The sequence below is a fragment of the Homo sapiens genome, chromosome 9 (genome assembly GCF_000001405.40).
Source record: "Homo sapiens chromosome 9, GRCh38.p14 Primary Assembly".
NCBI classification, from domain to species: domain Eukaryota; kingdom Metazoa; phylum Chordata; class Mammalia; order Primates; family Hominidae; genus Homo; species Homo sapiens.
The window spans coordinates 108,915,492-108,928,364 of NC_000009.12; the positions used below are offsets into that span (position 1 = coordinate 108,915,492).

Genomic DNA, 12,873 nt, shown 5'->3' on the forward strand with positions numbered 1-12,873 from the left:
CTAAGTTTCCAGCCTGCCCTACAGATTTCATACTCAAGACAGCAACATCAATTCTTACCTGAATTTCCAGCCTGCCAACCTGCCCCCACAAATTTCAAACTTGCCATCCCCTACATTAGCTAATCTTTTAAAGTAAATCTATCCACACTCTATTACTCTCTCTCCCTCCCGCCCCACCCTATTCCCTCTCTCACCGTCTCTCTATGTAAGTACAGCTGACCCTTGAACAACACAGGCTTGAACTACACAGGTCCATTTATATTCGTATTTTTTTCAATGAATACAGTCGGCCCTTCATATTGTGGATTCTATACCCGCAACCAAACGCACATCAAAAATATGGTACTTGAGGAATGCAAAACCCAAGTATACAAAAGGCTGACTTTTCATATCTGAGTGTTCTGCAGGGTTGACTGCAGGACTTGACCATGTGTGGATTTTGGCGTCCATGGGCAATCCTAGAACTAATCCCCCGAGAATACTGAGGGACGAATTATATATATGTATTATTTGTTTCTCTAGAGAACCCCAACCAATACATGACTGAAATCCACAATCAATCAAAACCTAACCACCCCCATTTCCACCTACCCACTTCAGCATCTTTGATTCTACTAAGGGACTAAGTAGAAGGGATGAAGGAAATCCCATACCTGTCTACTTTCAACTACGTTTTATGGGGCAGAAGGCTGGGGTACTACAGCTGTCTTACCACAGGTTTTCGGAATGGAGCTTTCTTCTCTCTGAAGGTCTTCCAGCCAGACTGCAAGCACAGAGGAATCTGCATTCCAGAGCAAGTCATTTACCTAGAAGGGAAAAAAGATCTGTCATTGGCTTTCAGTTATGGATTTACTTCCAAATCTTTATAATAGCTGTATTTCCTCTCTCAAATCAAATAATCCCACTACCTGAGCTCATCCCTAGCTGTAAATCACTAACCTACAGAGGCATTAAACAAATCTGTAAAATATGTCATTATTATGTAGAGGACTTAAAAAAAAGAAATACATTATGCTTAAAGATTAAAAGAGACTTAAGAAACTTAACCAAATACAAGGTGACATTTTTAGACAATCAGAGAAACTGGAATATGGACTGGGTGTTAGACAACACAGAGATAAGATGTAATAATAGAATTATGGTTATGTAAAGAAAAATGTCCTTAACTGTTATAAATAAATATTGAAAATATGATTTCTAGAATTAAAACTCCAGGAAATAAAAATATATGTAAGTATATATATGTATAGGCCAAAGAGTTGCGGACCGATGAAAATAGTTTTGCAAAATGTTGGTATCTACTGAAAGTGAGTAATAGTTACATGGGAGTTCATTAAACTCGTCTCTCAACTTAGGATGTTTAAAATTTTACACAGAGATACCATTTGATGTGTTCTCACTTCAGCAAGAATCTTAATGGTATACAAACCACTTAAGATTTAAATGTTATAAATGAAAAACATCTTCATTACTGGAAAAATTATGCTTTTGTCAAAATAAACAATAAAAACTAGCATTTTTATTTCCTACTTCTGTTTTATCTAAGGTGGGGGACAAATGCTATTATTTGCAAAATCACTGGAAAAACAATATTTTATTAAATAAAAATCAGTTCTAGGAAGCCACCATTTTTATTACTATTTACTCTAAAGCTACTATTTATATATCCATATCAAATATAAATCCCCTCTATAGGCCAGGCGTGGTGGCTCACGCCTGTAATCCCAGCACTTTGGGAGGCAGAGGCGGGTGGATCACCTGAGGTCAGGGGTTTGAGACCAGCCTGACCAACACGGAGAAACCCCGTCTCTACTAAAAATACAAAATTAGCTGGCTGTGGTGGCGCAAGCCTGTAATCCCAGCTACTCGGGAGGCTGAGGCAGGAGAATCACTTGAACCTAGGAGGCGGAGGTTGCAGTGAACCGAGATTGCACTATCGCACTCCAACCTGGGCAACAAGAATGAAACTCCATCTCAAAAAAAAAAAAAAAAAATTCCCTCTATAGCTATGGAAAGTCCTCTACATTCGAGGGTGAAACAAACTCAGGCACTTACCTTAACCTCATCTTTAAGGAAGGGAAGTGTAAAGTGTCCATGAAGGAGTCCATTTTTCTCAAAAAACACAATATCCTGCTGGTTGGGTTTATCTTGTGTAGATGCAATCAAACTGCCTGAGGGTCTTAAAGCAAACTCAGAGTGTTACAATATCGAAAGCTCACCTAACTAAAGAATAGATAAAATCCAGAAGAGTTTTTTTTCCAGCAAACATGAATGAATGAATGAACGAATTAATGAATATCTTTATCCAAGGAAGTTTTAAATCCCATGTGTCCCTTGTCTCTCGGCGAGCGGTTCATCCCACTGTGGGACTGTACTTGCCCAGAGGAAAGAGTGCCTTTTCCTGTTTTACACAGAGGCTCCATTTGCCCACAAAACCTTACATATTTACATTGCATTTGGATGACTTTAAAAATAATAAGTTATCTAAACCATTCCAGGTATAATGTCCTAAAAATCAAAATCTATTTCTCCTTCCATTATACAACTTCAGCAAATATTCTATGCTCCAGTAGGTCTTTTTTAAGACTTCACCAAATGTTGAAAACATCTTAATTGCCTCATCTTATTCATATTTGTCTCTAGGGTTTTAATTCAAATACATTTCTCTTCTGCTCTATCATATAATACCATTCAGATACTGGTGGGAAACAAGAGGTCTACATACAACAGATATCACCGAAACAGAGGAGATACATCTTCTATCTAAAATCAGGCAGCCACATATGACAGGCAAATTGTAACCTGCACAAGGGTACTGGGCCAAGGAGGAGAATGGAAGGAAAGAGCAGGGTCTGAATCCAGCCTGCATGCTCCTTGGCAAGCAGATCCTCTGCTGTAGGAATTTTGTGCCAAGGAAGGAGGCTCTTTCCCTAATTTCCACAAAAGCACCATTTGCCCCACAGAGCCTTGCAAACTGGGCCTTCCCTTCTAAACACCATTTTCTGCTCTGTACAATGGCTTCATATATACCCTGCCTTAAAACCACAGCCTTTTAAGAGTTAGGAATGCAAAATATATGCGGCCTTGGAACAATGAAATCTGTGAAGAAGCGTAAAATCTACTATTCGAGTTGAATTCAGACTTCAGGGAATAAGAAAAAAAAAAAAGAAGAAACAAAGATAGATACAGCCTTATAACCAAATGAAGAAACGTAAAAATCCTTTTGTGTTACACAAACATCTGTATCATCTGTATCCATGTGTACCACCACCTCTACTCTGGTTCCAAGAATTTCTCTAAGGTTTCTTCTCCCACTCACTTCCAAGCCAGGGCTGGTCCCAGTCCTGCCACAGGCTCACTGGTTGACTGCAAAGCAAACTCTCGGTTCCACACTCTGACCTTCCGAGCCCCTGTGCGGGAGTGGAGTCAAACACACATACACACTTAAAACATTATGATAAAAGTTGTCAATTCAGAACTATTCAAACACCTTCCTTACAAATAAAAACTGCCATGGTTTTACATAGCCAATTAGATTAATTTTGTTACAAATTTGTGTCCACCAGGTAGGAGGATGGACCAAATGGCCTCAAAGGACTCTTCTAATTCTTAACTCTAACCTCATTTCACATTTAAAGCAGCACATCCTTGCCTCATATGTATAATTAATACCCTACTCAAAGCAAAAGAAAGAAAATTTTCCTTAATTTTAATAAGATAAAAATTTTTTATTGTTGTTTAACTGCAATATATTTCCATACCTGTTTCTGGGCAAACAACACTCACAGCAAAAAACTGTCCATCCCCCCGCCAGGTAACTTGTGGTCTATGGTCATCCCAGGGCAAAGCAGACTCATGCTAAAAAGGGGAACAAACACCAATATTACTGGGGGACCTTAAGTATCCCAGAATCAAACAAGCCTCAGACCACTAGATACAGATGTTTTTTAAGAGGTTTAAGCTACTTTGAAAGCCTGCCTCTAGAATCAGAAACCATCCAAGGGTTGGTTCTTAGAACGCAGAAATCATCAAAAAGAAGAAAAAAATGTAAAACAAACAAAATCCTCCTTTCGGCATTAAAAAAAAAAAAAGTGGCCTCTGAGAACAGCAAAAGAGGAAAAGAGCTACAGATCTAGATCCTGAATATAATGAGCTAAGGAACCTATCAGGTAACTACAACAAGGAAACAAGTGTTCCATTTGTCCAACAGGGTAGAGTTTTGTTTACATATTGTGTAAGCTTCACAACAGGGCACAGATGAGTTAAGATGTGAACAAGGTGAATAGGGAGGAGCCACAGAGGTGGTAAAGGCAGCAGCAGACAATGACGAAAACATGGAAATGTTCTCATTCTGCAGCATGACGGGAAGAAACGTCTCCTCCAGGGCCACGTGTATCTCAATCCTGAAGCCAACTCTACCGGGTGGGAGACAGATGACCACCCGGGCATTCATCATCATATTCTAGTAACAGCCTAAGAATTCTGCTAGTACTGTACTGTAGTCTGCACAGTAGGGAATACATAGGTAGCCTAACAAAATTTATTCTCAATGAAACTGTCCTAGGGTATAGAAACCAAACCTCCTTTACTGAAGGGTTAAGGCCTGAAATAGGCATTATATGAAATAGAACTGGAAATAATTAAGGACAGAAAACGTAGATGGCAAGCAGGGTATTATTGAGTCATCTATTCTAGAAGAGTAGCTCATAGAAATTTCTACATATAATTATGCTTCCATTTGTTCAGGCCCAACCCTTGGTATCCTCCTCAATTCCTCCCTCTCACCCAATTTTTTTTTTTTTTTTTTTGAGACGGAGTCTTGCTTTATGGCCCAGGCTGGAGTGCAGTGGCACAATCTTGGCTCACCGCAACCTCTGCCTCCCAGGTACAAGTGATTCTACTACCTTAGCTTCTCAAGTAGCTGAGATTACAGGCATCTGCCACCATGCCTGGCTAATTTTTGTATTTTTAGTAGAGATAGGATTTCACCATGTTGGACATGCTGGTCTTGAACTCCTGACCTCAGGTGATCTGCCCAACTTGGCCTCCCAAAGTGCTGGGATTGCAGGCATCAGCCACTGTGCCCAGCTAAATGCAACCTCTTGAATCAGTGTTACTGGGCACTAGGAGAGCCCAGGCAGGGAACAGGCTGAGGGCTAGAATAACACAACTTAAAAAATCAAAGTAAATTATGCTCACATGAGTACTTGTATCTGCCTACTCCATGGATTTTTGTTTTCTTTTCTGAAGGGTAGCTGTGAACTTTCAAACCAAGACGAGGCCCTAGAAAGCCTTTAGAAAAAGTTCATGAAAAAAAGCTAGAGTAGTTTACTGGATAGTACATTAGATAACAGGATGCTCGGTTTTTTTCCCCCATTACCTGGATCATCCTATACCATTAATAAACCCTAATTTTGTTAATACTAGATAAGTCTTACTCTAGCAGGTACCAGTAGTAAAGTGTCATCTTCTCCAGAGTTTAACAAAGTATGGAAAACTGCCTTATTTTCAAAACTACCATAGATTCCTTTAAAGTACTATTTTTTAACACCTTTACTGGGATATAATTTACATATTATTAAGGTTCACCCATTTGAAGTACACAATTCAATGCACCTTGGGATTTTTTTTTGGTTGTTTAAACTCAGTGGTAAGAATCAATGTTTTTAAAGTATATTTACAAAGTTGAATAGCCATCACCATAATCTAAATTTTGAGCATTTTCATCATCCCCAAAAGAAACCCCATATCCATTAGCAGTCACCCCTTCCCCACCCCACCCCACAGCCCTACCCAACCACTACTCTACTTTCTGCCTCTGTGGATTTGCCCCTTCTGGGCACTTCATACAAATGGGATCATATTATATGTGATCTTTTATGACTGGCTTCTTTCACTTAGCATAATCTTTATGAGGTTTACCCATGTCATAACATGTATGAGTAAAGTGCTATTTTTAAATCGAAAAGATATGGTCTTAGAAAGCTGTACCATAATTTACTTGTTGCTTATAGCAAGAAAGAATATTCAAATTGCACCAACTATTTACTTGGTCAAGTTCCTGTTTAGTCAAGGATACCTTTTAAGTCCTGCCAAAAAAAAAAAAAATCACTTAAAAATCAGGGGGACATGAAAACCACTTGTCCAAAGCTGGGCAGTTGTAGTGGATCACCCCCAAAGAAGCAAGGTTGTGTCTCAGAGTACTTACTCCATGTTTCTGCCCTCTAATAATCCTTTACTGTTCTAATAAGTCAATAGCTTTCAGAATGTTAAATTAGACCCACTATGCATATTTTACTCACAATAAAGTTGTTTTGAAATAAAAACTACGCTTTAAAAAGTTTCAAAAATTATTTGTCTACTAAAACAAAAGCAGCAACTACCATTTGAGTGCCTACACTGTGCTGATGCTATGATAGCTGTTTTATATATGCTATTACCTGCCCATCTCAACCCTTGTAAGGAGACATTATGTTGTCCACTTTACAGAGAATACTGAGGCTCAGAAACATTAGGAAACTTCCCTGCCAAGGTCTCATAGCTTCTAAATGTTATGAGGATAATGTAATCTGTACTTTTCTAACAGAGATCTGTAATGCCCCTGGGGGTACTTGGTAGTGTGCCAGAGGGTAAATATGGCACATCTTCTTGGGGCATTAATTTTACTCAAGGGTAATACTTTTCAATTCATAGTTTTAAAAAATATTCATATTGTATAAATTAAAATAAAATATAAGAGTTTAAATGAATTTAATGTGACACGGACACTACTTCCCCAGGTGCCCCAAGAGTCTGCACTCTTCTTGTGTCCACACACCTCTGCCTTCAGGGGCCGCCCCGCCTACATTAGAAGATTAAAAAGTCCTGCCTTGAGTCATCAAGACATCATTATATGGTCTTCAGAATTTTCCAATCCAGAAGTAAGGAAAACAAAGAGTTTCATCCAACAGAAAAAGAAAAATATCTAATATACACATATATGGGAAAAGTATGAGAACATGCATGTGAATGAAGGATGGCAGCTCTCTCTGGAGAGGAAGGGGAGGGACATCGGGACGGGATACACAGGGGGTTTCCTTTGTCTGTGATGTTTTATTTTTTAAACTGGGTGATGAATATTGGTTATAATTATTTGCTACTATGAAAATAAATCACAAAGCAACTTGGCAATAACAAGGAAAAAAAGGATCTTTCTAGAGGGATTCATTTCCTGAAGGTTCTAGGCAGTTTTACTAAAGCAGAAGAGAACTGTTCATTACTGGCATCTAAGTGGACACCAAAGAGTTCCTGGTGGGTGGCAAACTTACATTTGTTCCAGTCAAGGCTTTTTATCCATCAAACCAAACTTACCATTTGCATCTGAAAAGCTGCTTGTCTGCCTTCTGATCCATGGAACTGTGTCTCCTTCCTACCCCATCCAACAGTGATAAACTTGCCTACAGAACAATTGGCAAGACAACTAATAAGCCACATGAAATGAAACAAAAACAGTTTCACTGCTATTCTTCATGAAGTTAGTCATTGGCAATTACTCAGGTCCTCTAACGCCTCTCAATAAATTGACCAGCAGTCAATATTTGAGAAACCTATGTTTCAGGCTGGGCATGGTGGCTCATGCCTATAGTCCCAACACTTTGGGAGGCTGAGGCAGGAGGATCACTTGAGTCCAGGAGTTCGAGACCAGCCTGGGCAACATAGGGAGACACCCATCTCTACAAAAAGTATACAAAATAAGCTGGACATGATGGCACACACCTGTGGTCCCAGCTACTCAAGAGACTAAAGTAGGAGGATCACTTGAACCCAGGAGTTCAAGGCTGCAGTGAGCCCTGATTGTACTACTGCACTCTCTAGCCTGGGTAACACAGCGAGACCCCCATCTCAAAACAAACAAACAAAACCCATTTCATATTATATGCAGCAGTGACTTTGAAGAATTTGAAATGCCCTTCCTTATTTTGGAAAGCATTTTACTGCCATCTTACATATTCCAAGTTTCTTTGATGACACAAGTCAGCGATCTCACCCTCACCTTATAAGTAAGAAGAATGAAACATAAAGAGTTTACAAAATATGTCCGGAACATAAAACCCCAAGATGAGAACTGGGAATAAAATTCTGATTGCAAGCTCTCACTGGTGATAGAGGGGCTGCAGGTCACAAAACAGCTCCTCACATAGACTTAGAGATTGAGACCCTCCCTAATGGTGGAGCCAAAAGTTAGAACACAGGTCTTCTGCCTTCCAGGCTGACTGGGGTTCTTTCTAGATCGTAACACTTCTCTTATATAAACTATTAGGCAGAGTTGCTGAAACAACACAACCCTTCTGTTCCTGGAGGTAGGATCCATTTGCAAGAAGCACAATAAAGATGGTCCTGAAAACATCACCTAATCCAGGACCCAATACTTTCCTCCTGCCATTGATTCTGATTCTGATGAAGCAGGGCTGTTTGCAATTCCTATAAATTATGGGTCCATATGACCATTTCCTGTCTGCTCACATCCAAGTGCTACAGTACCTCAATTGCTGCTGCGTACAAATGGTAGTGACTATCCTGGTGCAAACCCCCAGGCTTCTATCTGCAAGTTTCCACAGAAAGATTAAGGACCAAGGAATGAAGAAAGAGAACTTTTCCAATGGAAGACAAGAAATGATGCGGTTACAGCAGGGATTTGCAAAACTACAGCCTACATCTGCTTTTACAAACAAACGTTTACTGGAACATAGATGTGCTTATGTATCATGTATAACTTTCACACCTCAACATTAGAATTGAGCAGCTGCAACACAGATCATACAGCCTGCAAAGCTGAACATATTCATGACCTAGCCCTTTTCAGAACAAGTCTACTGACCCCAGGATAGAGGAAAAATATTCATCACTCCATAGAATGATTTTTTTTTTTTTGTACTGAGAAACACATTTCTGAGACCTAAGATCTTAACTTGGCCTACATTTCCTTTGATTTACTGCATTAGGATTTGTGTGAAAAAGTCAGTGGGAAACACCAGGCCCAGAGCACTTTCCCATCCCAAAGTATACTGTGTGCTGTTACTCTCTCTCTGACTGTCCTCAAAGCTGGATGCCCCAGAGTTCCACCCTGGATTCTAGACTCTTCCTGTACAGCATCTGCTCCCTGAGACAGTCCATCTGTTCCCAAAACTGTCAGAATTTCCTACATACCCACTACTCTCAGTCCATAGCTCTGGCCTCTCCTGAGCTTCAGCCTTATATTTGCATACTCCACATGGCAATCACATATGGTCCTTCAACAAATCCAAAACAGATCTCACCACCCACCCCTTACAGACCAGCACTTCTCCATCTTCCCTGTTACTGGCATCTTTATTCCCAACACCTGAGGTTCTGGCTGGAGTCCTGCTCAACTTTTTCTTATTCACCTTACATACGCAAAGCCTATTTATTTCACTTTCTAAATTGGTATTTCTCAAACTGGCCTAGGGCAGAAGGGGAATCATGCACATATATTCTAAAAAAGTTTCCCAGCTAATTCTAAAAAATGTACTCCCATCCTCATTGTGAATCAAGTTTTTTCCTGAATGATTCCTGCTTCTAGCCCCACACAAACCTTCCTTATCTTTCATCTGGATTCCTGTAGCAACCTCCTACCTGATCACCCTGCCTCTCATCTCTTCCCTCTCCACACACAAAAACAACAAAAATATGCCATCACGAGCCATCTTTCTATTAAATAAATCTCTTTAAACCTCTTATCATCAAAACTTGTAATGGCTGATCAACTATAACTCAATGTCCATATTCCCTACTACAAACTCAATCAAATCTGTTCCATTTATTTCATTCTACACTCACATTCTGCCACTTCAGCAATGCTGAATTACTCACAGTTCCCTGAGTAACCCACAATGTTTCTATGAAATAACCCTCCCTTGAAATGGACACTTGAAATGGACACATTCACTTGCTTGGACTGTTCCCCACCCTTATCCCTCACCTACCCAATACCAATTCAGCTGACTACTCCAAACCCTTATCCCTCACCTGCCCAATACCAATTCAGCTGACTACTCCCCACCCTTATCCCTCACCTACCCAACACCAATTCAGCTGAGACTCAGCTCAAGTTGGCCTCCTAGGGGAAATAAATCATCCCTCTCTAGTTACTCGTTTCCTTCCCTTATGCTACCCCAGTACCTGCACATCATGTCATTACTGTGCTGATACCACCAAGCCCAGCTAATTTTTAAATTCTTTGTAGATGCTGGGTCTCCCTACGTTGCCTAGGCTAGTATCAAACTCCTGGGCTCAAGCAATCCTCCTGCCTCATCCTCCAAAAGTGCTGGGATTACAGGCATGAGCCACTGTGCCCAGCCCTCCAAAATTATTTCTGAACAAATACATTATTTGTAAATAAATGGGTAGAAGTTGTCTAAATGATTTCTCAGAGTTGATGGAGCAAGAAGGCAGGAAGTTAGACCATAACAGAAGTTGGAACATCTTCTTCCCCATCCCTCTTCAATCAGGCCAGCTACTTTGTGACTTCAAGATGGCCAAAGCTTATGCTTAATAAGCGTCTCTCTTCTCCTGCACTGCCCTTCAATACCCCCACAGCCTTAATGCCCAGATGACCTTGGCTAGATTTTAGCAAGAAAATAATCTGATTGTTCCCATGGAAATGCAGATTGGATCTAATCGTAGTAACAAAAACCAGCCTTCTATTCCATCTTTCTTCTTTTCTTCTCCCTAAAACTGTATCCCAGAAATACTACCTTGTACAGTCCCTTTCACTGAAAGCCCAGCCTAAGACTTTCCTAGGGTTTGGGTAATAACTATCTAAGTGACCTTAAACCCTCAGACCTGGAGAGGCATCAGTAGGCCTTTTAAGATTTGGGATGGGCTGAAGGAACTGGGCTAATAGACATTTAATAGCTGGGGGTTTAACTTTCACAGTTCTTTGGCCTAATGACATGGCTATTAGTGCACAAGGAAATGGTCAAAAATGGGAAGAAACGTAGGTCACAAAATATTGCACAAAGCTATACTTACTTTCACCAAAATCATCCTGATGGATCTGCTGCTCCAGGATTGGCTCAAAATCTTTTGTCATCATAATCAGGGTCTGTTGACCTTAGAGAAACACAAACAAAAATGATTTTGTTTTCATGTAACAAATTTGCCATTCCTAAGTACCTATGGCACTGTAAGCTAAGGAGCTGGAGTTAGTCTGAACAGAGCAGACAGAATTCATCCAAAATGCTTTGACTTAAAAAAACAACAATGACAAAAAACCCCAAAAAGCTTTCCCTAGATAAGTCACCTGGTGCTTATGCTCAGCTATTAATGTGTGTACAGTTGAACTTAAAAGTCCACAAAGCCCTCCTCCACTAACTTCAACACTCCTTGTCCCCAAGATACCTCTAAATATAAATGTCATCAGTGGAGCTGGTTTACTAAACTCATCTGGAATGATGAGACTTAAAGGGGAAAAACAGCAACAGAACCCAAGAAGGGCTTTTAGAATGTGTCCATACAGCAACTCTTAGAATAAGTTAAAATACATATTGCTGACATTTTTAACTCTAACTGGGGACTTAGCAGCCTCCCCAAGTTTTATGACTTTGTTTCTTACTCCCAAAGACTTAAAAAGTTACATGAAACAACTTTTTATAATGATAGACTAAGAGGCAAAACTTCAGTCACCAAAAAAAAATCACTCTACGTTTTATATATATATACACACACACATACATAATTGGTATTATACTGGTTCATAATTGGTATTATACTGGTTCAAAGAAATTTTTTGAAATTCAAGCAGCCTAAAGCTGATGAAGCCTGTAAGACATCTGGAATAATGTTTTAAAAAAGCCAGTGAGGCACCAGTAACAAGCTTACCTGTGGCAAGAAGCACCAGCTCTTGGTCAGGACTCCAACTCATAACAGAGATACCACTGGCTACACTCCCAACACACTCCAGCTGAGACAGAGAAAATTGAAAAGAGAGATTCAAACACTAGCATCTCAGTAAAAACTGACTGCAACTTCAATCAAAACAATTAAAAAAACAAAACGAAAAGACATCAGTATATGGAAGAGATATCTGCACTCTCATGTTTGTTGCAGCTCTGTTCACAATAGCTAAGATTTGGAAGCAACCTAAGTGTCCATCAATGGATGACTGGATAAAGAAATTGTGGTACTATACACAATGGAGTACTATTCAGCCATAAAAAAAGAATAAGATCCTGTCATCTGCAACAACATAGATGGAACTGGAGATGATTACATTAAGTGAAATAAACCAGACACAAAAAGACAAACATCACATGTTCTCACTTATTTGTGCGATCTAAAAATCAAAACAATTGAACTCACGGACACAGAGAGTACAAGGATGGTTACCAGAGGCTGGGAAGGGTAGTGAGGGGCTGAGGGAAGTTGGGATGGTTAATAGGTACAAAAAAAAATAGAATAAATAAGACCTGCTATTTGATAGCACAACAAGGTAACTACAGTCAACAGTAATTGCACATTTTAAAATAACTAAAAGACTGTAATTGGATTGTTTGTAACACAAAGGATAAACGCTTGATGGGATGGATATCCTATTCTCCATGATGTGGTTATTTTGCACTGCATGCCTGTATCAGAACATCTCATGTAGCCCATAAATATATGTACCTACTATGTACTCATAAAAATTAAAAATTTATATTTAAAAATTAAAACAAGAACTTACTCAACAAACATTTCTTCAGTAATGGATATCAAGAGAATAGACCTGTTATTAGGCACAGGGATTAGAAATAAATATCTTTTTCTTCCCAGAGCTGTCTCACGAGGGAGATAAAAGAAGACCCTACAGAGGATAACAGCAATGACCAAGAT

The 12,873-nt window shown here is 39.6% G+C and overlaps 1 protein-coding gene across 4 annotated transcripts in view; it reads right to left on the reverse strand.

The window, feature by feature from the left end:
* ELP1 (elongator acetyltransferase complex subunit 1) overlaps window positions 1–12,873 on the reverse strand; it is a 66,608-nt gene that overhangs the window by 47,975 nt on the left and 5,760 nt on the right. For 3 of the 4 annotated variants that reach the window (NM_001318360.2, NM_003640.5, XM_047423991.1), the window contains exons 4-10: window positions 11,881–11,962; window positions 11,032–11,112; window positions 7,351–7,436; window positions 3,762–3,858; window positions 3,320–3,410; window positions 2,056–2,179; window positions 713–806 (exon numbers count right to left, since the gene is read on the reverse strand). In NM_001318360.2, coding sequence (NP_001305289.1) covers window positions 713–806; window positions 2,056–2,179; window positions 3,320–3,410; window positions 3,762–3,858; window positions 7,351–7,436; window positions 11,032–11,112; window positions 11,881–11,923 — 616 coding nt within the window. In that variant the 5' untranslated portion in view covers window positions 11,924–11,962. The remainder of the gene's footprint in view (window positions 1–712; window positions 807–2,055; window positions 2,180–3,319; window positions 3,411–3,761; window positions 3,859–7,350; window positions 7,437–11,031; window positions 11,113–11,880; window positions 11,963–12,873) is intronic. The other variant, NM_001330749.2, reaches the window with a different exon arrangement.